General features: G+C 48.6%; 1 protein-coding gene across 4 annotated transcripts in view, besides 2 other annotated features; it reads left to right on the forward strand.

Moving 5' to 3' along the window:
* Window positions 1–27,500, forward strand: part of CORO2B (coronin 2B) — a 209,434-nt gene that overhangs the window by 88,465 nt on the left and 93,469 nt on the right. The window contains exon 1 of one of the 4 annotated variants that reach the window (NM_001190456.2): window positions 9,702–9,777. The exons of 2 other annotated variants lie outside the window; for them this stretch is intronic. The gene's annotated coding sequence lies outside the window, so the exon portion shown is untranslated. Of the gene's footprint in view, window positions 1–9,701; window positions 9,778–25,234; window positions 25,505–27,500 lie in introns of those variants that run through there. One more of the 4 variants, NM_001190457.2, reaches the window with a different exon arrangement.
* Window positions 1,545–2,185: an enhancer, noted in NCBI's record as "H3K27ac-H3K4me1 hESC enhancer chr15:68900721-68901361 (GRCh37/hg19 assembly coordinates)". NCBI's record gives its function as "activates a minimal SCP1, AML or CMV promoter by ChIP-STARR-seq in naive H9 embryonic stem cells {active_cell/tissue: H9 hESC(naive)}" and the evidence as "EXISTENCE:reporter gene assay evidence [ECO:0000049][PMID:30033119]".
* Window positions 7,499–8,014: an enhancer, noted in NCBI's record as "H3K27ac-H3K4me1 hESC enhancer chr15:68906675-68907190 (GRCh37/hg19 assembly coordinates)". NCBI's record gives its function as "activates a minimal SCP1, AML or CMV promoter by ChIP-STARR-seq in naive H9 embryonic stem cells {active_cell/tissue: H9 hESC(naive)}" and the evidence as "EXISTENCE:reporter gene assay evidence [ECO:0000049][PMID:30033119]".

The raw sequence follows: 27,500 nt of genomic DNA on the forward strand, positions 1-27,500 counted from the left end.
CATGGAAGACATTACGGGACCCCTGGAGCTGTTTCACAGGGCAGGCACTTCGTAGGTGCTCAATATATCCTCCATTGACTGTGGATTGACTCGGAACCAGGAAAGGGGCAAGCCAGCTGATCAGAGCCTTCACACCCAAAGCTGGAGGGCACTACAAGAAGGAGCCTTCTCCAAACATCTTGAGTCTCCCCTGGTTTTCTCCCTGGCTCACCAAGCTCGAGATAGATATTGGGCTTTTGAAGTAGGTGGAGGGGTTAGCAAGGGGCCTCAAGGATTTTGTGGGCCAGGCACAGAGGGGATAGTTTGTCTCTGTTCCACCATGTCTGGGGTCTCTGCTAGGAAGACCTAAATGACTAGGGTGACATCTGAGAATCATCTGGAAGTGCCTTCACACTCATGTTTGGTGCCTGGACTGGGATGACTTGAAGGCTGGACTGGGCTGGGACTGTTGACTGGAGCATCTACACATGGTGTCTCCACATGGCTTGAGCTTCCTCATGGCATGGCCGCCTCAGAGTAGTCAGATATTTTACATGATGACTTGGGGCTCCAGGAGCAAGTGTTCCAACAAACAAGGAAGAATGTAAGATCCCTTATGACCTAGCCTCAGAAGTCACATAGGGTCACTTCCACACCCAGATTCCACTGGAGAGGACATGGAACCTGCCTCAAAGTCTTTTTTGTAAAGAGCTTCTTTGGGCCAGGCACGGTGGCTCATGCCTGTGATCCCAACACTTCAGGAGACCGAGGTGGCAGGATCTCTTGAAGCCAGGAGTTTGAGACCAGCCTGGGTGACATAGCGAGAACCCATCTCTACAAAAAATTTAAAAATCAGCCAGGTGCAGTGATGCGTGCTTGTGGTCCCAGCTACTTGGGACGCTGAGGTGAGAGGATTGCTTGAGCCCAGAAATTTGAGGTTGCAGTGAGCTAAGATTGTGTTACTACACTCCAGCCTGGGTGACAGAGTGAGACCCTATCTCAAAAAAAAAAAAAAAAAAGATGCCCTCTTAGCTCTCATTTTTCACTCCTTTCTAAGAGAGGTCAGACCAGGACTCCAGGAACAGATGCCATGTGACAAGACCCCAGGGCCTTTATCATCTTCTTGTCAAAATCACATGCCCTTGGGCATAGCACCTCATGAAACAGGGCCTTGGGAGTGAATGGGAGTGAGGGGGTCTACATGGGCTCAGCTGCAGCTGCCAGACCACAGCTTTGCAGAGGCGTATGTCCTTTGACACTGGTGAAATGCCACCAACGTGAAAGAACATATCCCACCTTTCCTGCTACCTACCTCTGGGGCAAGGTTTCCTTCCCTTGCACTTAGGCAACCCAAACCAGACATGGGGGGCCTGAGCACGGCCACTGCAGGCCCACAGGCATCCTTTGTGAAGAGCTAGGCAGGGGCCCAGGGTGGCATGATCAGGGCTTGGCCTCCTGTGGCTGGCTGCGCATGGCCAGCCCAGACCCGAACATTGGTGGTTACAGTTTCCAGGCCTCCTGGGAGAAAAGCCAGCAAGGCAAGTTCTCCCTCCCCCACACTGTGGTCCCCTGGAGGACTTCGGCCTGAAGGACAACTCCCCTGGCCAGGCCAGGCAGCCCAAGCTGACCCACTGACTGGCTGGGAGCCCAGCCCTCTCCCTCAGGGAGCCCCCATCCACTTCCTGGTATTGCTCTGTGTGAGTGTGCACGCGTGCGTGTGTGTGTGTTGGGGGACATTCTGTTTTTCAAGGACTTGGCTCTGTGCAGTGAAGGGATCTGTTGGAGAATGATGAGAGACCTGTGGGTCAGGGAACATACTCCCCTCTGCTTCCCAGTTCCTCCTCTCCTAGGGAGGGAACTCCCCATGAACAAGCATTCCTGCATCCTGAATGGTTGGAGCCTCATGGCTTTGTTCTCCACCCCTCCCCTGCCCAGACTCCCGAATGCCCTTTCTCAGGCTTCCCACAGCTGGCTTTGAAGAGTTATGGGGCTCCAGGAGGGGAGTTGAAATTCCGCACTCTCATCCTCAGCATCATCATTCCCTTCCACTGTGTTTGCTATTTCAGCCTCCATCCATCCGTTCAACAAGTGCTTACCAAAACTCCCACTGGGTACTAGGAAGAGAGAGAGAGAGGAGACAGAAAGAGAATGAACACTCAAACTCAGACCCTATCCTCAAGGTGCAGCAGAGAGGAAATCAACTTGGAATTAGAAGCCACATGACTGGAGAAATGCTGAGGCCAGGGCCCCCGGGTGCCTGCACGGTGCACTGGGTTCCAGGAAGGAAGGAGCAGCATTGGAACTGGGCCTCCAGGGATGGTTGGGATTTGGGTTAGGCAGATACGCAGGGAGAGGGAAAAGGATTGCAGGTGACAAGAGCAACATGAGCATGGGGCATTGTGGTGGTGGTGGTTGGGGGGATGGTCACCTGAAAGGGACACATTTGCTGTCAAGAGAATTTGTCCTGCCCCATTCATTGTTCCCTGTCTGAGCGTTATCTAGCAAAGGAGAAGAGGATCTGGTGAACTGAGTCACACCAGGCTGTTAGTGACCATCTTATTTCTCCCAGCAGGGCCTGTATTTAAGAAGAGGGCTGTGGCTGTGCAGGCTTTGGGGCAGGGCATCAGTTTGTGGTCCACATCAAGCATCTAGGTGTGAGGAATTGAGCCTCTGTCCCAGACTTGGGTGGAGAGGAAAAGGAAGGGAAATGTCTGAGCTCCAGGGCAGGGGCCTTCCCTCCCGAATCCACATCTCTTTTGGAGTTGGGGGAGTAAATGGGGTTTTCATCTCCTCTTTGCTGCTGGTCTCCCAGCTCCTTCCACTGCCAGGCCTGAGCCCGCTGTCCCCTCCCCACTGCTCCCTCACTGCCATTCTTCTTCCAGGACATCCTGTGACTTAACCAAAGGCATGAAAGCTACTGATGGAAGGCCGTTGCTCTGGCTCTCCAGGGGTGAGCTGGGGTCAGCCCATGCCCTGGGACTGGAGGGCTGTACAGCAGCCTGTGAGCCGCGTCACTGACTGTGATGGCAGGCAGGGTGGGCTGGGGTAGGGGAGCACGAAGCGGTCTGGTTCAGTACACTAGCTTGACCTGGAATCCGCATGAATCATCCACATTGGCCAGCTAGCCCATCCCCAGGGGACCCTGTAATTGTGCAACCAGCCTCTCCCCTCTACCCACCCTCCTTCTCTTGATAAAACCTGGCCAGAAACTCAGGCATAGAGAGAAAATGGATGCGGTGACAATTCCATGTGTTATTCAGAATTAACTAGGTGAATATCGCTGAGCTCCTCTTAGGTAGTAGGCATTGAACGATGCAGAGATCTCGGGGAAATGGGCCTTATCCTCAGGGACCCTGCAGCCCTCTGGTTCCAGTGTCAGCAGCCCTCACTAAATGTCAATGGATGCGCCCAGAAGAGGAGCTAGGACTTCATAGGACGAGACAGGTTCTCTAGCGCCTCGCCTCGTTTACAAAGCAAATGGTTGAACCACTCCCTGCCCTGAAGTGCTGCACTTGCCTCAAGGCCTAGTGAAGGGCTGGGGGCTGGCTTGGGCCCTGCATGCATCCTTTTCCTGTATACCCCCCAATTTAACATCTAAGACCCCTTGCTGCCTGGCCCCAGGCTTGTCTTCCTCCCTGATCTCCAGACCCCCTTGTTCCAGGAACAACAGACCCCTTGCTCTTTCGCTCACATCCCCTCCCTCATACATCCTCTCTCCCCTCCTGTTCTCCCATCCTTCCATCACAAAGCCCCTCCTCCAGCATCCTGCGCGTTTAAATTTGTAGAAACCTAGTCCCAGACTAGATCCTATGTCTGCTTCTATACCTGAGTATATGTTACTCCCAAGGCATTGATGTGTTGATTTCACTTATTAAAATGGCTTCTCACCTTGCAGAGTAGGGTACTCTGAGGCCCAGTCAAATAATTTCTGTTTCTGTGAGGCAGGTTTGGGAGGCCAATAGGGCATCAGGCCAGTCCAGAATATTCACATAGAGAAACAGAGCATCAGCGTGGAAATGAACCTTAGACACTTCACTGTCCCTTGACTCCCACTCACAAAGATGTGAACTAACACCCAGAACTGATGGCAGGTAGCACCTTCCATTCCACACCCTCGACGCAGCCAAGGAAAGAATCCCAGGGGGAAAATGAAAGAAGTACTCTGTACAAAGCTTTGTTTGTGTTAGCAAAACAATTGGGAAACATTTCACGTACTGAACAACAGCTAAGCTAATCCAACCTCAGTTCATCAACATGAGAAAATGCGCCCCACCACTGAGCCACTGAGCATGACTCGTGGGAACCAGTTCTCTATATGTACACGCATGTTGGAGATGATGGAAAAGAAGAATGCAGAGTCTGGAGTAACACGCTCCATGATTCTCTTGTTCCATTGTATCCATTTGTATTTATTTTTAAAAAATAACAGTGTCTATTTCAGATTGTAAAAATGATACATGTTCATTCTGGAAAATTTGAAAAATCAGAAAAGTGTAAAGATGAAATTTTGAAATCATACTTTGCCCTACCCTCCCAAGGTACCACCCTTTGCATTGGGTGTTTTCCTTTCACTTGTTTGTTTGTTTTTTTTCCCCTATGACTGTATATGACAATTTCCTACCTTTTGCCTTTGATATTACAACATGGCATCAGGAGCGTTTCCCCATTGTATTATTTATACCATATTTTACTGATTGTAATATTTCAAATTTTTTTTATCTCTGTTTGGATATATCTTCAACTGAAAGCATGTCATAGTTAATTACTACATCTTTTTCCTAGATGGATGTAAAATAATGGTCAGTTCTACAATTGATTGAATTAGATTTATTAAGATATGGAATGTGCTTCAAAGTATGATTTTTATGCCTATATAATAGTTTATTTTATGAACATAAACATATTTTATTAGCCTCTTATGTTAGACATTTAGGTTTTTCCAATTTTCCACTTTTTTTCTTTTTTTTTTTTTTGAGACAAGATCTTACTCTGTCACCCAGGCTGGTGTGCAGTGGCATGATCTCAGCTCACTGCAGCCTCAACCTCCCAGGCTCAAGTGATCCTCCCACCTCAGCCTCCCAAGTAGCTGGGACTAGAGGTGTGCACCACCATGCTGGCTAATTTTTGTATTTTTCATAGAGACTGGGTCTTGCTATGTTGCCCAGACTGGTCTCAAACTCCTGGGCTCAAGCCATCCACCCACCTCCACTGCCCAAAGTGCAGAGGCTATAGGCAGGAGCCACTGCACCCGGCCTCAACTTTCTACTTTCAAGAAGCATCCCTGAACGAGAAATGTGTCCACACTGCTCATTGTTTATCGGAGTAGATTCCCAGGAATAGATAAAATGAGACAAAACAAATGAGGATCTTAGAAGCTCTGGATGCAGATGCATGTACACATTGAAAGGGTCTAAAAGTAAATATGTGAATATGGAAGGATAAAGATGGGCACTATACTTATTAAGCTCTTATTTTCTGTGGCATTCTTTGTGTATAGGCTTTGAAATGATGATCGTAAGGACAAATCAGTAGTGAATGACTGCATTTATGTGTGAGAGGAGGTGTGCGTGAGAAGGGGCAGAGAAAGGAGAGACAGAGAAAAGGAGAATGAGAAATGTCCAACACTGCAGAGGAGTCCTGGAATACTGGAATGGGTGATGTGGAAGTGAGTGCTCTGAGGTCTGGGGTAGAGCAGGAAAACTGAGAGCTGTTGGGTTGACAGGAGGTTGTTTGGTAAGATTTTTCATACCCTTGAGTTCCAGGGAGATGGCTGTTCAGCAGTTGGAGCACAAAGTCTAGAAAGAGCACTGAACTGGATGGGGCCAGGCAATCTGAGTTCACACCTTGGTCTGCTGATGATAACTTGCTCTCTAACTGACCATGAGCTCGTGACTTCACATGAAGAAACTCATGATCCTCACGCCGCAGTCTCCTCCTCTGCAAATGAGGGAATGGGGCAGGAAGATCTTTAGGATTCCACCAGCTCTGCAAATCTGTAGCTTGGGAGTTCCCAGCAGTTGGGGAGAGAAAGGTGACAGTATCTGGTTTGTAACTGACCCCAGCTCCCTTGCTCCTTGTGGCTCATTTTTCCTTAGGGCCTGGAACAACTTTCTGGAGTTCCTTTCCCAGGTCCAGGACATCAGAGCCATTCACTCCTATGGGACTGCACAGGGAATCAGTACAGCCAGGTTCAGGATGACATGGGACTCCCCTCTCTCACTTCACCAAAACTCCTGATGGCCCTTCAGAGAAACCTGCTGCTTTCTGTCTTTCTGGAGAGGTCCAGAAGAGGCATGTAATGGAAGCAGCCTTTAGTCTTACATCCAGCTTACACCCAGTTGGCCAACACTTTATCGCATGACCACATACTAGGTTGCAAAGGCACCTGGGAAATGTAGTTTTTTTCCTGATAAAAACTGAGACTATTACTATGAGAGAGAATAGAAGAACAGAATCCAGAATAGAAGAACGGGAAATGAGCAATTTCTGCAAAAAACAAATCTTCAAACCCAGAGCTTCAGGGCTTCAAAAATCCGTGTGATGGTAGAAGCGGCATATTAAAATGGCTTATCAAATTAGGGTTCATCAAAATAGATTGAACCTGACTTCTTCCCCATTTCAACCCTCTCAGAACTTCCCTTCTTTCTCTCTATGTGGCAAAGCTTGAAGGACCAGTCTTCAGTCCCCTGGTGGCTGGCAAGGTTCTCCCTGAAGGATTGAGAACAGATTTGGAATTGCAAGCACTTCCTTGGCTTGTTAAGAACCAATGACGCACAATGCCATGGACTTTTATTTTAATATACAACCAGAAGCTGCTTACAGATATCCTCCTGAATTAAACAGGGGTTATCAAACCATTGCATTTGTAAACCTAAATTAGCACATCGCTAAGAGTTTTTCAGGGCCTTGAAATCAATATTCTACTAAGAGGTCTGGCATCTTTGCAGTCCTTGGCAAAGCTCCTACTGTGTATACCTGTATAGATGGCTGAAACTCCTGAAAGTCTTAGTAAGAACACTTTGTTCTCATTGTCATCTTGACTTAGCTCCAGTGTCCAACTGCTGCTATTTTTGCTTTTCAATTATAAATTGCTGTGAGTTTAGCTTCCTTATTATAGATTTAGTTTGTTGTGGGTTGTTCAGTTAGCCACCAGTGTGTGGTACCTATCTGTATATTTGAAGCCCATAATTTTTCAATCATCACCGTGCCTTAAAGGTGTCATCAGTGGACCACCTGCATTGGAATCTCTTGGGTGCTTGTTAAAATGCGGATTCTTGGGTTCTCACACAGACCTCCCGAATCAGAATCTCTGGGAGTGGTCCCTAGAATATATGTCTCTGTGCCAGGGAGAACCTGTGAACACATCTTAATGTGTTATCAGGGTGGTTCAGAAACAAATCATCCAGATCTTTATTGTTAAATGAGTTACATGTAAGTCCCCAATTCTGCTTCTATAGAGATAGTTGCAAGTGGATTTGTTCTATTTAAATATATTGCAAAAGGAAGGTGCCGTATTATCACATAAAATTGTGCATCGCTTCTTTTACGAAGTACCTGGGAGGTGATTCATAATGTCCCTCTCTTATTCTTCTTTATTGTTTTCCCTCTAATGCATGAGTTTGGGTAGATGAGGAGCCTCCGGGCCAGCCAAGATTAGAAACCACCATTAAGACACAAAGGAGCATACCAGACCCTGCCAAGTCAGTAACTTGCTGGAGAAACTATTTTAAAGAAAAGACATGGGGACTAAGACAAGGAGAGCTCCTGAATGACTTTAGAGGGTCATGAGAGGAAAGCCCCGGAGCCCTCACGGTCAAGGATGTGTCTGGAGGCTGTGCTGGAAAGTGCCTGGGAGGATTTCAGGACTCCCGGGAGCCCTCTGGGGAAGCGGCTTCCTTTCCGTTCCTGCCTTGTGTGCTGGGGGAGGGGCTGGTTCCAGGGCTGCAGCGGGCCCTTTATCCGCTCCTCTCAGCTCTGACTGGAGCGCTTTGTGTCCTGACTGTGCCCCTCACAGCCTCTTAGTGACGGGCCTGTTGTCCAAGATGGTCCCGAGGCTGGTCCGGGCCTGCGCCCATGTATTATGCAGCAGCAGCTGGGACAAAGCTCCTGTGTGTGGAAGTCGGGTGGGGTGGGGGCTTGCTCCCCACAGAGTCCTGTTTACCAGGCACTGGGATGTGAGAGGGTGGGATGGTGGGGATGCTGTGTACAGGAGCTGGGCTTCTCAATGCTGCCTCTGAGAGGAGAGAGGTGAGGGCATTGTGGGTGCCACAGCAGGCTTTCCTGGCTGAAGCAGGAGTAATGGCTTAGTTCAGGTTCAGGACAGCCAGAGAAATGATCCTCCACCTCCCAGGGCTCCTAGGCCGGCTCAGGATGCACTGCTTGGTCATTAACTGGGTCTCTCTGACTAACCGTGACCCCAGTTAGTTAGTAATTCCCTAGGGCACCCATGAGACAGGACTAATGTCATCCTTTCTAATCAAAGTGGACAGAGAATCAGTCATTTTCCCTGGACCAGGACTCTTGAGGGGTGCTGCCAGGTCTTGCTCCTCTCTGTGTAACCCGGGGGGCCTGGTGTAGGGCAATCACACAGTGGATGTTTGTGAGATGCAAAAGGGTTTTCAAATATTTGTGATGTTTCCATTCCTGAGCCATTGGCTGTGGCTTAGGCTTAGATGAGAAGCAGAAGTGCTATGGTTGAAAAATGTTTGTGTTCTTCCAAAATCCATGTTGAAATCTTAACCCCTAAAGTTATTAAGAGGTGGAGCCCTTGGGGTGATTGGTCATTAACCAGTCACCTTTATGATAAATCATGAAGATTAAGGCCTCATGAATGGGATTAGTTCACTTATAAAAGAGACCCCTGAGAGGCCCTTGTGTCTTCCACCATGTGAGGATGCAGCTAGAAGGCCCATCAGTGAATCAGAAAGTGGGCCATCACCAGACACCAAATCCGTCAGTGCCCTGGTCTTGGACTTCCCAACCTCCAGAGCCATGAGAAATAAATTTATGTTGTTCATAAGCCACTCAGTTTATGGTATTTTGCTACAGAAGCCTGAAAGGACTGAGACAAGAAAGAAGATCATAGCCTTCCTTCCTAGATGCTTACTGCTTGATAGAGACATAAACTTTGCCCAGATGAGCAGGGTGGAGGAGGCTGCCGTTTATAGAACACCTACTGTGCGCCAGACCTGCTGGGTGGTTTACATGCAGCGGCTCGCTCCCTCCTCCCAGCAACCCTGTCCAACATGAAGCCTTTTCTCTGTTCTGTGATGGAAGAACCCAGCTCAGACTGGTTAAGTAATTGCCCAAGGACTGACTCTACGGCCTGTGCTTTTGTAGTAAACAGTATAATGATGGGCATAATTGGGTTGCTGTCGGGGATATGGCTAATCAGAATTATCACTGGAGCCTTCTCATAATAATACCCCTGCCTCTTCCCCATCACCTCAGATGCACTTATTCGGGGGAAAAAGGGTTAAGAATCTTGGGCAGGAAATGTATAGCTTTAAAAAGCTCTCTGGTCATCCTAGTTTCTTCTCAGAAAAGTATTTAGCATTATTTTTAGTCTTATTTATAGATTTTGGAACTTTACTATGACTCCAACAGAAGGGGAAGGTCTTGCTCAAGGTCACCCAGCCCCCACCAAGGTCTCTTGCTGCCCGGCCTGCTGGCTTTACTGCCATGCTCCACTCCCTTAAAAGCAGGCAGCTGCCCTGGATCCAGATTCAAACCGCCTGCTGGGTGCCGTGGGCCATTGTGCAAGTCTTCCAGGCCGCGGTCGAATGATTCTGACAAGCGGTGAGTACGGCTGTGTCAGCGCGTGGGCCCCAGCGCAAGCAGGCAATCCCATGTCATCTGCGAGATCTCCCATGGGCGAGGGCTAGCGTTATCAAGGGCCCCGAGAGCTGGGTCTTGCCTCTTGGGTGCACGTGGTCTCATGGGGGAGACAGACAGGTGTGTGCAGAGGATGGCACAGTGTGCCAAACTGGATTTGGTTCTGGAACCAAACACACACAGCCAGATTAATTCCAACTGCATGGATCTGAGAAGCCTTGCAGAATTGGAGTTTTGTTTTATTTGGAAGACATGCCTGAGGATAAAACAAAGGGTTTCAAAGGAAGAAGGGAAAGGAAGGAACTAAAGTTTACAAACACTAGGTATTTAACTTGCCTTGTCTCATTGAATTTTCCCAAGAACCAGGTATATGGAGAGTAGTAACCCTGGTTACCAGATGAGGAAGCAGGGCTCTGAGGGGTCAAAAAAATGGTCCAGGTGTTGTTGGGACTGAGACAGAGCCAGGTCTGTCAGCCTTCAAGCCCGTGCTTTCCAACAACATTGGCTTTCGTGGGCTCCAGGGAATGGGATGAGTCATATCCTGACACTGGTGGCTGTGGGGAGTGGGGGCTGGGGATGGGTGGGAAGCCAGAGGCAATGAGGAGGAGACAGGTGCATCAGCCACTGTGGCCTGTGGCCTCTTGTCTCTGCAGATCTTGGAGCTAGGCTCACACCACTTTTCACTCTTCTGTGTTTTTCAAGCACTTTTCTGTTTAATGTATCCTTTGTCCTCCCTTCACTGGTAGTCTGGGAACCAAAGGACTTGGTTCTAGTCCCAGTTGTGCTACTCACCAGCTGTGTGACCTTGAGCAGGTCACTTGCCCATACTGGACCTCCACATTCCCACCTATAAAATGAAGGGTAGTGTGCGTGTGTGTATGTGTGTGTCTGTGACTATATATGTGTGGTTGGGTGTGTGTGTGTATGCACATGTTCATTCTCAGCAAACTCAGTGTGAATAGTAGGACCAGATAAACTCTAGGTCTTTCCTTGCTGTGTTCTCTCCCTTTTGGGTGGGCAATGCTGGCATCATCACTCTCATTTTATAGAAGATGAAAGTGGAGTCTTAAGAGGGAGTCCTGGGTAAGCAGGGACTAAGCCATACTATGCTCTTCCACTCACTTCTAACAACCTCAACTTGAAATCCCCAGTGGGTGGTTGTCGTCCCAGTGGGTGAGCCCTGTGCCTGAATGGGGCCCTTAGAGATTGTGGCTGAATGTGGGGGTTTGCATTTGAATCTTAGGCTACTGGAATGCCCTAGTAACATGCCATTCTGGATTACTAGATTTTTCAATTCACTTCAGTAAATATTTATTGAGCATCTACTATGTCCCAAGCTTCCTACTAAGTGCTGGGGACAGAGTTGAACAGAGTCAGTACCTGCCCTCCAGGAACCCAGTTAGTGCTGTGGCTTTCAGACTTTTTTGCTATAGTTGCTAGTGAGAAAAATCATTTTGTTGTGACCCAATACACACACATGCATACACACACACACACACAAATACATGTTATATATACAAAACAAAACCAAAGGTCATGATATGCACTCTATTTTCTAGTCTTTTCTACTCTGCTTCATTTTTTTTAAATACTGGTAGCAGCCTACCACTTTGATTTCATAACCTACTAGTAGGAGGTGACCCTCCAGTGTGAGAAACATGGGTTGAGCGTTGCATATATTACACATGTTGTATTACATGTAAATCATGTGCTATGGAAAAGGAGCAAAAAAATGAATTAATTTGGGAAAATCACAGAAGGCTCCCAGTTCAAGTGGCACTTGAGCTGAGTCCAGATGTGTGAAAAGATTTGAGTAAACAGGAAAAGGGGAAAGGCAGCCAGATGGAAGCAACAGTGTGATCAAAGGCTGGGAGGCGTGAGTGCGCAGCTGAGGAGATAGCACTGATGTGCCTGGCACATGAGCAGTGCTCTTCCTGGGTTATCACACTTGGTTCTCAATAATCCTATAGGACAGGGACTTTTTAGCATATTTGCTGCCGAGGCGAGCACAAGGCAGGGACTTTTTATCTCTTCATGTTGCAAAAGAGGAAAATGGGACTCAGAGAAGTTATGTAACTTGCCCAAGGTCACATGGCTACTAAGTGGTAGAGCCAGGATTTGAATTCAGGCAGTTACATTGTGATCTAAATATGAGGTTCCTAGACATGTGCCCCTAAAAATACTTTGAGCTAGTTCAAGGGGATGTTCGAATACAAGCCTGAAAATTTAAAATTTCATTCTGTAGGGAAGAGGAAAACATTTTGCGATTTTGAGAAAGGGAAGTGACGTGATCAAAAATTTATCTAGGAGAGGATCACAGTGGCATCAGCATAGAAGATGGGCTCAAGGAGAGGCAAGGATACTTGTCAGAAGATGGTAACAGCATCTCCCTAGTCAGGTCAGCAGCCCCAGATACAATTACATCATATTTATCTTTGGGATGCAGTTGAGGATATTGCTCATATATCACATACTGATAGGAATGAAAGGAGAATGAATCATGTTTTCCTTTTTACTTTGACTGCTAGGAAGCCCAGAGCCCCAATCTGTGTTACTCTTCCAGGGAGCATTCAAGAGCTATTAGCCTTTTATATATTCATTTTGCCTTGCCTTAGATCACCTACCCTCACTTTCCTTTAGCCTGAATTTTATCACTTAGATTTTCATCCTGCTGCAATGTATGCATTTTAGTATGATGCCTTAGAGAAGGATGTAAATAAAATACAAATAAAACACACTGAAGCAATTGGAGAGCATTTTTTGTGTGTGCAAGATTGAAAGGTCTTAGAGGGCTGGACTGTCTTATCATCCCCTGGGGCTTCTGTCGTGGTGCTGGTGCCAGGTGCGTGCATCACATGGATGTAAACCTTGGACTGTTGGAGCTGGAAATGTTCCAAATGGCTCTCTCTCCCTCTGCTTCTCAAAAATGGACATAGACTACCAGTAGTACACAAGATAGTCCCAGCAGGGCCTGAATAAACATGGTTGGGTGTAATTGTAAATGCTGGGTGTAAATGTGTGTGTGTGTGTATATATATATGTACACATACATATGTGTACCCATACATATATGTACATGTACATATATATGAGTGCGTGCATGCGTGTGTGTGTGTGCACGTGTTCATTCTCAGCAAACTCAGTGTGAATAGTAGGACCAGATAAACTCTAGGTCTTTCCTTGCTGTGTTCTCTCCTTTTTGGGTGGACAATGCTGGCATCGTCACTCTCATTTTATAGAAGATGAAAGTGGAGTCATGTTTTTTTTATTTTTTATTTTGAGACAGAGTCTCACTCTGTCTCCCAGGCTGGAGTACAGTGGCACAGTCTTGACTCACTGCAGCCTTTGCTTCCCGGGTTCAAGCAACTCTCCTGCCTCAGCCTCCTGAGTAGCTGGGATTACAGGCGCACGCCACAACACCTGGCTAATTTTTATATTTTTAGTAGAGACGGGGTTTCACCATGTTGGCCAGGCTGGTCTCGAACTCTTGACCTCAGATGATCCACCCGCCTTGGCCTCCCAAAGTGCTGGGATTACAGGTGTGAGCCACCATGCCCGGCCTAATTGTCGTATATTTATTTAATGTGTTTTAGGAAAAAAGGTAGCTAGGACATCAAACTGTGATGTCATGGCTTAAATTGCTTAGAATGATGTTTGTACAGATATTTAAATGTTAGAAAGAGCCAATTTAAAGAAAATTTTTAAATAAACATGGTTCGGGTGATTTGTAGAAATGGCAAGAACATGTTGGCAGTGATACACAAATTATGAAGTTTGGAAAACACTGATTCCATTCAACCTCTTGTTTGACAAATGACTAAACTGAGGCCCAGAAAGGACAGAACACTTGTCCATGAGTCTGATAAGTTATTTTAAGCCACAGGAGTAAAGAGGGTCTTCCCCTTCCAACCTCATTCAAAAGTCTGCGTTTAGGGAACACCTGGTCCCGCATCTTGCTTTTGAATCAGTTTTATATTTCCAAAGTGCCTTCTCTGTTTTATTCTCTCATTCCTTTTTTTAATCTGAGTCTTATCAAGCAGCTATAGTAGGGTAATTATTTCTTTGTTTTGCAGATAAATAAACTGAGGCCCAGAGAGGGAGTGTGCCTGCCGTCACTCAGCCACTCACTCAGCCAGCTGAGGCAGGACCAGGGCTAGAAGGTTTCTAGGCCTTCCCACTGTGCGTGTCAGGCAGGGTTGGGCGGGGAGCCAGTTTCTCTGATGAAATCCCCCAACAAAGGGTAGAAAGTCTGCTGGGGTAAATGCAAGGCAGTCTGCTGGCCGAGCTCCACTTGGGAGCACAGCGAGCGGTACAGGGCCTATTATATGCTGCTCCGCTTCCGGGAAGCTATTACTTTCTGAAGGAGCCACAGATGTTCTCCTCGCCTGCTGATTAACGGGTGTGTTACTCAGCTTGGAGTGGACGGATGAGATCGGCAGTGAATATTCTCAACTGTGTGACCACCATAAACCCTGCCAGTGCAGGTGTAGGGACCCTCAAGGCCATAAGCAATGTAGCCACAGCGTCTAATGAGCAATTGAGCATCTTGGAGGTGCCAGGACCTGTGCTCATGGCTGGAATGGAGGCACAGACAAATCACACACTGCCTCCAGCCCCATGGGACTCAGTCTGCTAGGGGAAGCAGACACATAAACAGTTAGCTGGAGAACAACGCAGTGCGTGCCAGCATGGAGACCTGGAGCAAGCACGATGCAGGGAGTGCTGAGTTCTTTCTCAGGGACCAGAGAGGCTTCGCAGCGCTGGAGACATTTGAACTGTACTCGTACTATTGAATAGGGTTTGGCAGGAGGAGATGAGGAGGAGGCATTCCTGAAAGGGGACCTGCCCAGGGTTCCACACTGGCCTGAACTGGAGACCAGCACATGTGCACCTGGGATGGGAATGAACTGTGGCTCTGTCTTCATAACTCTGCCTTTCCAGATGGGTTGGTTACCAGAGCCTTGTGAGAAGAGATTGGCCTTGCTTTGGTTTGGTTGTTGGTTTGTGTTAGGGAAGCAATGTGACTTAAGAGGACAAGCTTTGGGATAATACAGACCTGGGTTCAAAGCTCAGTTCAGCTCCTTGACAGTCACGTGACATTGGGCAAGTTTCACTTCTTTTTTTTTTTTTTTTTGAGACAGGGTCTCCTAGGCTGGAGGACAGTGGTGCAATCATGGGTCACTACAGCTTTGACCTCCCAGGTTCAAGTGATCCTCCCACCTCAGCCTCCCAAGGAGCTGGGACTATAGGCACATGCCACCATGCCTGGCTAATTTTTCTGATTTTCTTATTATTTGTAGAGATAGGTTCTCACTATGTTGCCCAGGCTGGTATCAAACTCCTGGGCTCAAGTGATCCTCCCACCCCTAAGTGATCTCCCGATCCAAAGTGCTGGGATTATAAATGTGAGCCACTATTTGACCTTCTGAGTCTTGGTTTTCCATCTTTAAAATGGGGATAATCTCTTTTGCTTAGGAGTGAGAATTAAATGAGACGAAGTTGGAGAAGGACTTAACCCATAGCCAGGTTTGTAGTGGGTGCTCGGTACATTCACGACAATTGTGGCAATGCTGCTGGGTGAGTGACTGCATGTGAAAATGGAGTGTGTGGGGGCATGGGCATGTTTTGAGACTGCCCAGCTGGGTGGACTGTGTGACTGCAGTGTGAGGATGTGAGGGTTGGTTGTACATTCCCTTGAGCGTGAGCTGACTGGGGAAGACATGCCTGATGCTGTTGAAGGCCATGGGGATTTGGTATGGGGTGAGCTAGCCTATAATTCACTCTGAGTTGGAAAGGATTCTCCAGTGTCATTCAGTTCGACCTGAACCTGCTATATGAGTCCCATCCTTGACATCTGTGCTAAGTGACCTCCAGTTTCTTTAATTGCCTTCAGCAATGGGGAACTCACCACCTCCCAACACAGCAAATCCTATCGTTGGACCTCACCGACTACTCATTAGAAACAGAAGCAGCTCAGCCCTATGGAGCACCTTCAGAGTCACAAGATTCACCCCCACACCCCATTCATTCATTCATAGATATTTGCTGAGCACCCTTACTACCAGATACTATTCTGAATCCTGGGGATGCAGCAGAGGACCAAGGCAGACACAGGCTCTGTCCTCTCAGAGTTTACAGTTTTGTTGACCTTAACTCACAACACCCCTGTGAGGCAGGCAGAAGAGATTAGAATGATTCTCATTGAACAGACTGGGAAACAGGCTGGTGGTGGTGATGGTGATGGCTGATATTTATAGATACTTAGCACGTGTCTGGTGCTTTGTATACTTTAGGGAATCTAATCTTCATGTCAGCCCTAGGAGGTAAACCCCATTAATATCACCCCTCTTTTAAAGATGAGAAGCATAGCTGGGTGTGGTGGTGGGCACCTGTAATCTCAGCTACTCTGGAGACTGAGGCAGGAGAATCACTTGAACCTGGGAGGCAGAGGTTGCAGTGAGCCGAGATCACGCTACTGCACTCCAGCCTGGACAACAAAGTGAGACTCTGTCTCAATTAAAAGAAAATAAAATTTAAATTAAAAAAAGATGAGGAAGCAGAGAAGTGATATTGTTTGCTTAGGGTCACACAGCGAGGAACCGGCCCGGCTCTTTTAAGCCCGGGCCCATGCTGCCTCTTGAATCAAGTCATTGAGACTCGCCAGAGCAATAGAGCAGGGGCCTTGACTGAAGCTGCTGGATGCAGACCCTGGGTGCTTTGCACCACCATTGGAAGGTCATGTGGGAGCCCTGGCAGTGTCCATGCATGTGGAAGCCTGACGTGAGTGACAGCCAGTCTGGCCCACCCACAGCTGTGTTTACACCACCTCCTCACCCCCACCCCACCCCATCCCATCCCAAAGAGCCAGAAGTGAGTGAGGTCAGCCTCTCCCGCCCTGCATGTAAACAGAGGCTGGAGGACCAGGAGTCATCTCAGGGCAGTGCGGTTGACTCCTGGTGGGAGAAGCCAAGGGCAGCTTCAGGTTCCTTTGCTCCAGAAATCCTGTTGGGCGTCTCCATCCCAGCATCCAGGAGCCTGTTGCTCCCAGGAGCAGCAGCAGCGGGTGGGAGGGCAGGCAGGGCTGGGTGAGGATTACCGCATGCTGGATCACGGCTGCTGGGTAATCCCCGTTTGTGCCACTTGCAAAGCATGAGGTTGGAGGCGGGTGTGTTTGAGCAGCCCCAGCCCCTCCATTGTCGACACCACGGATTACAGCAGCTTCTCTCTGCAGCTGAGCGTGGGTCGCACAGACTCCTTGACTGCTGTGTTGGGAAGATGCCCTTTCTAATTCCTCCTGCTCTCTGCCCAGCCCTCCTCAGCTCAACCTCCAACAAGAAGGAGGATTTTCAGCCCTAGAGACTGGGTGATGGAAAGAGACTTGAGACAGACTTAAAGGACTGGGGTGGCGGGTCCTGCTGTCTTGAGCAGGTGACCTAACCTGTAATTCTGTCTCCTCATCCCATAAATGAGGATAAAAAATAAAGCCAGCTGCCCAGCTTAAGTCAGGTAATCCATGTCAGGGTGCTCTGTAAACTAGAGGCACCACTCTACCAATGTCGGCTATTAGAATCAGCCATGGCACAAGACTTGCAGTGGTGTGAGACTGCAGTCCCAGCTGCTCGGGAGGCTGAGGCAGGAGGATCCCTTGTGCCCAGGGAGTTTGAGGCTGCAGTAAGCTATGATCACCACTGTACTCCAGCCTGGGCAGCAGTGAGACCATGTCTCTAAAACCAATGACAACAACAAAAATGATATTAGAATCAACAGTGAGCACGACTACCAACACAAATAACAATCGTGATCAGCACCACATGAGTCTGTGAAAGGTACTGTTCACAGTGTTTCCTCCAGCCTGGAACTGATATTAGGAACTACCGTCCCTTGGGCCTAAAACTAATATATGATGTATTAGTTGTGCATTCAAATCACCTTGGGGGCTTTTTAAACATCAGACCCAAGAGTTCCTGGGGTCCATGCCCAGAGATTATAATTCACTAGATCTGGGGTGGGGCTGGGCATCTCTGTTTTTTTTTTTCTTTTCTTTTCTTTTTATTTTCTTTGAGATAGAGTCTCGCTCTGTCACCCAGGCTGGAGTGCAATGGCATGATCTCGGCTCACTGCAACCTCCATCTCCTGATTCTCTTGCCTCAGCCTCCTGAGTAGCTGGGATTACGGGTGCCTACCACCACGCCCAGCAAATTTTTGTATTTTCAGTAAAGATAGGGTTTTGCCATGTTGGCCAGGCTGGTCTCGAACTCCTGACCTCATGATACACCCACCTTGGCCTCCCAAAGTGCTGAGATTACAGGCATGAGCCACTGCACCCAGCCATGTCTCTGTTTTTAACTCCAGTGCTAGTGGTCGAAGACCACTCCTGCCCAGAGTCAAGGACACTGCAGGACAAGTGACTGTATGCCCAGGGTCCCTTCCTCTGCACCACACTCGGCTGTTCCTGAGCCTCCTTGCAATGGGCGGTCCGAGCATGCCGCTGTATGCTGGAAGGACCCCGTCTTCTCAGGTGCCACGCAGGGTTTAGGAATCTCTAAACTTGAAGCTTTTCCACAGTTTATTTTATGCAACTTTCTCTATCTAGAATGGAGACAAACGTGTCTTCAGCTAATTTTTTTTTTTAACTCGGGTTCTTCGAGGTATAATTTACATGCATTAAAAAAACATCTTTTTTAGTGTCCACTTCTATGCATTTCACAAATGCAAACAATCGTGTAACCACCATCACTATCATGATACAGAACATCTCCACTGCCTCCTGAAATTCCCTCCTGTCCCTTTGTGGTCAGGCCCTCCTCCCACCCCCAGGCCTTGCCAGCATTCATCCGTGTTCCATCTGTAGAAGTTGTTTTTTTCCAGAATATTATATCAATGGAATCATTGGGTATGCAGCCTTTGAGCCTGCTTGTGCACTCCGTTACAGGTTTTTTTCTTGTTTGTTGTTTCTTGTTTTGGGTTTTTTTGAGACAGGGTCTTGCTTTGTCTCCCAGGCTAGAGTGCAGTGGTATGAACACGGCTCACTGCAGCTTCCAACTCCTGGGCTCAAGCAATCCTCCCACCTCAGCACCCCAAGTAGCTAGGACTACAGGTGCACACCACCACACCCAGCTAACTTTTGTATTTTTTGTAGAGACGGGGTTTCACCATGTTGCCCAGGCTGGTCTCAAACTCCTGAGCTCAAGCAATCTGCCCCCCTTGGCCTCCCAAAATGCTGGGATTACAGGCATGAGCCACCACACCCAGCCCAGCTTTACTGTATTTGAGAGTCATCCGTGGTGTTGTGGGTATCAGTAGTTTGCTCCTTTTATTGCTGAGTTTGTGTTCCATCCTGTGGATGTGCCACAGCTTTTCTTCCTGGGGTAATTTAATTGTTTCTAGCTTTCATCCAGAAATGCTGTCTAGCAAGAAATGCAATTTGTTTGATTCATATGTAAATCTTTCTGCACGGGCTGCTTCAAAAGTCAAAAAGACTCACTCTTCAGCAATTTTTTAAAAATGTTCCTACTGCGTGCTGCTGTGAGGGCACACAGTTCCAGTGCTTACAGGGCTCAGATGAGAACCATAACGCAGGAGGGGGCTTGAGTGTAATTGGAGCATCCCCCTCCCCTCCTGAAGGGGCTACAGTGGGAATGTGGGTGCATAGTAGTTTCTGATTTTTGATTTTTGAAAAATCAAAGAAGTCTAGGTTTTTCTTAAAGATCCTGACTTTTAAAAAATGTTGGCAACTAATTTAGAACATGCTTAATCACTGTGCTGGCTGCTAGCTGCTGGCTAGATTGAGTCCTGTCTCACGACCTGTGGCTTATGTGGTCCTGAGTGCTAGAGATTCAGACAGGTGTTCTCCCCTGGGCCCTTTGAGGACAAGTGATGTGGACAGAAGGGAGAAGCCAGGGGCTTGGCTGACACAGATGCGGGACTCCCAGCCTTTGAGTGAGGGGAGGAGGAAGCAAGAGACTCAGAGTCTTCCCGGGAATCACTGCTTCTAGAGCAGTGGCTTTTCATTCTCACTGTGGGGAGCTCAAGAATACAGAGGCTCAGGCCCCATCATCAAGTCCATTTCGTTGGCTGGGGAGAGACCCAGGTGTCAGTACTTATGAAAAAACGTCTCCACAGGTGAAGTTAAGCAGCAAGGGCTGAGAACCGCTGCTCCAGAGAGGCCAGGAGGTCTGGTCAGAGGCTGGGGCCCCAGCCCCCAGGCACCTCTCTGTGTCAGTTTCCCTGGAGAAGTCATGAGTTTGAAGAGTAGGCAGAGGCCAGGTGTCATCACTGAGTCACTCATCAATGGCCAATGAGAGTGCAAAGGGTAGCTCTGAGCACAGGATGTGTAGCAAGACTCCTGGGTTCAGCTCCCAGTCCCACCACTGCCAAGTGGGGATCCTTAGCAAGGTACTTACCTTTTTTCTGCCTCTGTTTCTACGCCTGCAAAATGGGCACAATAATGTCAGATTCATGAGGATAATGAGGACTAAATTAGTTAATTCCTATAAGCTGCTTCTAAACGTATTACTTATAAAATTTCATTTTTACTTGTTTATTTGTTTTACTTTATGTCTGTGTATTCATTATTGTATGATTTTGTGCTGGTCTCGTATGAGGGATTCAGAAATGACTAAGACATCATCCCAACCATCAAGGAGTTTGGAGTTAGACCCGAACACAGGAAAAGCAATGCACCAGGGCAGGGCAACTTGCCCTCAGTGCCTGAGAGTGGTTTATGGACCTTCAAGTGCAGGTGGGTCCCCAGGAAGAAAGAGTGTGTTGGTGGGGGGTGGTCAGGGAAGGTGTGTGTTGGGAGAGAGATGAGTAAAATTCCAGGATGCAGAGAGAAGAGGGCGGGCATCTCTTTGGACTCTCTTGGGGTTGGGGAGGTGGAGGTAACCACGTGCCTGGGACAATAAGGAGAGCCCGGCTATAGCATAAGGAGCTCGTGGGAGAGGAGACTCTGCATCATGGTTGGGTGAGAGGCACTGTGACAAATGTGGTCTTCATCTGCAGGATGGGACGGGGAGATGTAAGCAGGAAATGGCTTCTGCCCTGACCCTCTATGATTGTATTAGGTGACTCAGTTATTTGCTGAGCTGAATCTTGCAGGGGTAGCCTCATCTCCCTCTGTCTGCTTACCCCTGCCATAGACCCTCAGGCTTATGGGTACAGCCCCCTTCCTGCCCCGCACACCCTGGTGTATCCTCATCTCCACGCCTCCCTGTATCATAGCTAACATAACTTAACTGAGCTTCTGGTGTAGAAGTTCGATGAGGCTCTGTGCTGAGGGAGTTTACTCACTCTTACTTCTGTACCCGAAATCTTCCCTCCCTGCCCCCAAACTGGAAACACAGCCTTCCATAAAGAGACCTCCTCCAACCCCACCACCACCCAAACCAGCAACATCAGTGCTGGAGAGAAGAAGAAAAGGGGAAGGGCCAGCATAATTTGGGTGGGGCTTTGCATATATTAGTAATAACAATGATAAATATTCAACAATAATGGTACATTACCATAATGACCAGATCTCCAGTGCCTTCTACGTGCCAAGCACTTTGCAGGCATGACCTCATTTAATTCTCACAGTGGTCACAGAGAAACCCCATAGCCCAGTTAAGCACACACCCTATGGAGTGGAAGGCCTGGGTTTGAATCCTTTCTCTGTCCCTTCTTGCCTGGGTGACCTTGAGCAAGTTACTGAATGCCTGTGCCTTAGTTTCATCCCCTGTGATATGGGGAAGATAATAGCGCCTGCCTCACTGGGTTGCGATGAAGACTAAGGAAGGCAGTATTTGCGAAGTGCTTTGAATAGTACCTGACACGTAGCAAGTACAACACTAAGTGTGAAATACATTAAAATATGTAACATATCTCTTTATCCATTTTGTAACAAGGGAATAGAAACAGGTGAGTCAAGGGACTTTACAATAGCTACATGTATTAAGCCCATGGTATGAGCAAAGTAATGTTACAGTTACTGTACATGTATTTTCTTTTAATCCCCACATCAGCTCCATGAGGAGGCACCATTATTATCACCACAGTTGATGGACAAATGGGGCCCCAAAAGGTAGATCCACTTGCTCATGACAGAGCAATAGAGAAAGGCCTTTTCCCAGGGCTTATCCTGCCTCCTCCGGAGTCTACATGGACTCACCCAGCCTCTCCATTCATTCCCTGAGGCTAAGCATTGCTGGGTACAAGAGGCTTTCTGCTGAGAGGGATGCCCTCAGTTTCCCATGTGATGTGGAAGATAAGGCAAGCTGGGGAAAGGGCAGGATGAGAATGTGGGAGGGAGGGACCACTGGGTCTCCTGGGACACATGTGCCATTTGCCTCCAGATGGGGCAGGGAGAAATGAATTGTAATTGGACAGCAGAGATGCTGTAACTTTATTTGGAGTTAGCAGAGGAGAGCCAGGAAGGTGAGACCAGCAAGGTCTGCTGGGGGAGCCATGGGATCATGCTGGGGAGTGCCGAATGTATCTTGCAGTTTTGCAAAGTTGTTGCCCCCTCAGTGGGGCTGCTCCACATTGGAAATTCTGCAGTAGTTCTGAATGAGTCAATGTCTGAGAAAAGCATTTAGATCAGAAGTTCAGGAGAATAATTGGAAAGGCTCCATTGCAGGTCTGCTGTGTGTGGTTGTCAGAGTTGTGCCCTGCACAAAGGCACCTGGCAGGGTGTAAGTGGGGGCTGAAATCCAGTCCACATTCCACTCACTGAGCCTGGAGCTGATTCTGTTGGAGGAAGAGGCGCCTTTCTCTATTCTCACAAACGTGCCCTGTGGACTGGAGTGGTCCTGACGCAGTGGAAGAGGTGAGGAGAGAGACTTTATCCCCAGAGGCAGATTTACAGAGGCCAGACTATGCCAGTGGTTTGGTACTCAGGCAACCAAAGCTTTGACTTTCACAGAAACCAGGAGGGCCCAAACAAAGAGCCCAGGTGCTGGGGATGAAACGATGTGCAGGGAAAGGCTATGCACTGAGCAGCTCCCAGGCCTTCTGAATGTCCTTATGAAATGGTCAGGGGACCAGCAGGAGGGTCAGTGACACGAGCAGCCTCAGTAGGGGTCAGATCAGGAGGACTTGGACGAGGCTGAGGCAGAAGCTAATTGAGAACCCTGACCTCATGACTGGGACCCAACTCGCTGTGGAGTCAGGAGCTTGGGCTCTTAACCAGCATGTGTGTGTGTGTGTGTGTCTGTGTGTGTGTGTTGTGTGCATACACACGCACTATGTCTAAGTGGACACCTTGAAGGAAAAGCACCCCAGTAGAAAGAGTCCTTTAAAAACCAGGAATCCAAAAGGATAGGTAATGCCCCTGCCAGAGGCACCCTGCCCTGGAGGAGTTGCCTGATGCCATGTTCTGTCACCCAGCATTGCCATTATGTTGGAAGGGAAAAGGGAGGGTGCTGGTGTTTGCTCAGTGCCCACCAGGCACCGTGCCAGATGTTCTGCATCCATTACCTCGTTTTCCTCTCCACCCCTCTTCCTCGTGGCTTCTGTAGCAATGACAGCATTCAGTTGAATAAAGAAAGAAAAAGAGGGAAAAAATCTCCTTTCAAGGCTCAGCAGTGTTGCTGGACCCAGGGGATGCTGTGTGGGGTGGTCGTGTGCAACGGGCAGCATGAACTTGACTATCGCTCCCTCGACCCAAGTGGTCATTGTTATCATCCCCTGAGCTGTGCAACTTTTCCGGCAACTGCATGGCAGGCACGGGCAGCCGCATCAGCACACCCCAAGGAACGGTGCTGAGGGATGAGAGAAAACCTCGAAATGAAATGTTTTTTTTTTGTTCCTGGCAGGGGCAGGCCTGCTAGGCTTGGGTGGGGCTCTGTGGTCTCTGGGCCTCCTTAAAATAGCAAAGTTCTTTGCTGTGGGGGCAGAAAGACCTCATGGGGACAGGTCACAGGCAGTGTTCAAAGACTCAGAGATCTACTACCCTGTTCCTTTTCTTCTTTATTTCCATCAGTTGGAATGCTTTAGGCTGCGAGTAACAAAGAAAGCCAACCAAGACTGACTCAAGCTCTAGGATTTTCATGGTTTTTCAAACAAGAGTTGCGGAGGAAGGAGGTCCTAGGTTTGGTCGGTGGCTCCACAGTGCCATCAAGGACCCAGGCCTCTTCTGTCCTTGTGGTCTGTCTTCTCATCATTTTGGCCTTTTGGTTGTAGGCTTGTTACCTCTTGGCCACAAAATGGGTGCCAGAGCGCCAGGATTTACATCCTCAAATGGAAGCAAAGGCGGGAAGCCGTGTGTGTGCCAGTATGCCAAGAAAGAACTTTTCTTATGTCTCTCTCCTCTTACTGAGACAAAAATCCTTCTCAGAAGCCCCCTAGTGGACTTCCTCCTAGGTCTCACTTGCCAGAACTGGGTCTTGGACCCTCTCCCAAGGGTGAGGGGTGTTCCCGTGGTGGTGCAGGGCGGTTGGGGGTAGGGGGTGCTGGGAATGGCAGGTACGAGTCCAGTCAGCAGATCTGCCTGCCTCCCTTCTCCAGGAGCTTGTCCCAGTGCTCCCAGGGAACACCTGGATGGCCGGGTTCTGCAGTGGTGCTTGACTCCCCATGTCCCCCAAAGGCCAGCCACTTGCCCGTCAGTGGGTTATGGATGGTCTCCATGTATAGGGCATTGTGAGGAAGACCAAGAGGGTGGAGACTGTCCTGAGAAGGAGGCAGTGTTGCCCCCATTTTTATAGATGAGAACTCGAGCTCCAAAAAGTTTATGAACTTGTCTAGGGCTTGTTATACATTTTGTAACATTTTACAGATGAGAACACAAGCTCCAAAAAGTTAATGAACTTGTCCAGTAGATACCTAGTAAGTGGTGGCGCTAGGATTTAAACCTGTGTCTGTCTGTGAAGCCATCCTCTGTTTGGCCCACTTTGGAACAGTGTCCTCTCTTCTTCCAGAATCTCAGCCAGGAAGTCGGCAACCTTTAGACTTCCTGTGCATTCCAGCTCTCAGAGCTGACACCAGGGCCCAGCTTACAGCCTCCGGGAGAAGTTAATCTCAACACGTGTAAAGAGAACCAACCAACCCTGAAGTACACACCAGGTGCCAGGGGGCAGGGTGGCAGCCAGGAAATGCTGCAGGTGTTCAGGGGAGGGTAGGTCCCTGGGGATGGGATGGTCAGAGACCCCGTGGGGCCAATTCGTTTACCTCTTGACATCAGTAGCTACACCAGAGAAGGTGCTGACACCTGCACAAAGACAGCCCCTCCTGAGCTGCCAGGAGGAGGTGCTCCTCGCAGTCAGTGTAAATAGGCTGCTGGAATGGCCCCAGATGGCCACCAGGGAGGGCCACATGCCATCCCTCAGCATCGCTGGAGTGGGCTCTCTCTTGGTTGCTAGCAACAGATTCTGTTGACCTTTAGTAATGAGGGAGGCAGGGCTAGAGGGTGACTAGCAGCCAGGCCTCCCAGGCTCCCAGGCCTCTCAGATGCCTGGAATTTCGGAGCTAGAAGGTAGTCAGATTCCCGTTATCTTGACTGCTGCAGCGGGGTCTCTGGGATGGTGATGTGAGTGCCTCCTGCACCCGTGGCCCCCATGTGGCATAACTCCTTGGGCGCTATTCATCCACACGGCCCATCTGTGCAGGGTACAGCCTTCATGGTCTTAGCTGGCAGCCCTGACAACTTGGATGTGCAAAGAAGATACAAGTTTGTTTCCTCTGAAGCTTGTCTGGTGTCATCCAGGAGCCCCACCTGGTAGGTAGCAGTGATAAAACGCATTCAGCTCGGTCCAGTAGAGTTGTGATGGAGTCAGCCAGACAGGACTCTTCATTTGCTAACACGGAGAGACAGAAGTTGAGAAACGTCCTCTCTCAACAATTCTGGCTCTTAAGATATTTTGTGGCTGCAGAATCCTATCTTGGATGTTGGAATGTGAATTTTTTTGAGTCCTGCTTTAACAGTCCGAACTCTCCCTGGATAATGGATGTCATTTGTTTATTTTTTAATTTTTGTGTTTTTTTGGAGACAGAGTCTTGCTCTGTCATCCAGGCTGGAGTGCAGTGGTGCTATCTTGGCTCACTGCATCCTCCACCTCCCTGGTTTAAGTGATTCTCGTACCTCAGCCTCCTGAGTAGCTGGGACTATAGGTGCGCGCTAGCACGCTTGGCTAATTTTTTGTATTTTTAGTAGAGATGGGGTTTTGCCACGTTGGTCAGGCTGGTCTCAAACTCCTGACCTCAAGTGATCTGCCCGCCTTGGTCCCCCTAAGTGCTGGGATTACAGGCGTGAGCCACCACACCCGGCCAATAAATGGATGTGAGTTAGGGGAGAGCAGGAAGGTTACACCTAGTAAATGCAGAACAGTGCACTAACATTATTTTTAAAATTACAGTGATCCCCTTTACATTCCTCTCTGACCTCTTCTCCATCTCTCTTCCCTCCGCTTATGGCTTCTGCCTCTGCCACCAACTAGTGGTGCAATGTAGCCCACATTTAAACCCTTCAAGGGGAGGAGCTGGTTGGTTTAGCTGTCACCATTGAGTGTGGGTCACTTCTATGGAGCAGAGCTGTGTGCTGGACAGTCATGCAGAATGCTACATGACCACCTAGAATGAGGCGGCCTCCCTTGTGAACTGGGGGAACAGAGGGCATTGTAGGGGAACTGTTGGCCACAGATCCCAGCAAGACTCCTCTTTCCTTGCTGGGTCCTAAATTAACTACTGGATTCTTTTTACAAGGCAGGGAGTGAGAGGTGGAGAACATCATGAGACAGTTATCACGGATGTTTTCAAACAAAAACCCATTGATTTCCTCAGTACCATTAAGTTTAATTTAAAAAAAAAGTTTCTGCTCTAGTTTCTAGACCCTCAGCTGGTGAGGCCCCTTGAATTGTTTCCAAAGTCCAAGAGGAAATGGTTACTCCAACATACACACACACACACACACACACACACACACACTCACTCCTTGGGGACAGCACAGGGTGGACAGTGCAAAGAATTTATCTCCAAGTAAGCTCTGTGCATGAGGCCTGGTATCTATTTCTTTATGGGCAAGTTGATTTACTATCCTTTTTTATACCCAAAATGATTAGCAGCAATATAAAGAACTTCAACTTCTCCTTTCTCACATTTGGGGCACTGAGAGATGGGCTTCCTTTTACTCTAACAGAGATACTACAACGGAGCCGGCAGATCGTCCTTCTCTTCCATGCCATCCCCTGGCTGTAATGTAGATAGATTATCTCTTGGGAAGGGGAAGGCCCATCACCAGTTACCACATTCCCCTGGGGACAGTTTATCAGTCCATCTTTTTCTGCATTGCCAGGTGACAGGGAGCAACGTCTTGGTCTGTGGGCCAGGGGCCAGGCCAGGCACTCTGAACACGGGATCCCGGTTATCCTGAGAGTCGGTCAGGGCATGTCACAGGCAGGGAGCCTCGGCAGTGGCAGCTATGCCTGGCATCTCCCCGGCTCAGCCTTTGGCCTGGACTATGAAACAGCCTTTTAAAAAAGTTGCTCAGCCTCACCTACCAAGAAGCCGGAGGCCATGAAGGAGGGGGTGAGGAGTAGGACCTGCTGTGGACAGAGAATAGGGCTGAAAACCAGAAGTCCTGGGTTTAACTCCACCAGCCCTTATTGAGCACTTGGTGTTTGCATGATCTTGTGCATGACAGTCTAGAAATGCAGAAGAAAGCCCTCGAGGGATGCATTAGGCCCAGCTCTTTTACTCACTCGCTGGCCGGCAGGGTG

Source organism: Homo sapiens, chromosome 15 (genome assembly GCF_000001405.40).
Source record: "Homo sapiens chromosome 15, GRCh38.p14 Primary Assembly".
In the NCBI taxonomy this organism is placed as follows: Eukaryota; Metazoa; Chordata; class Mammalia; order Primates; family Hominidae; genus Homo; species Homo sapiens.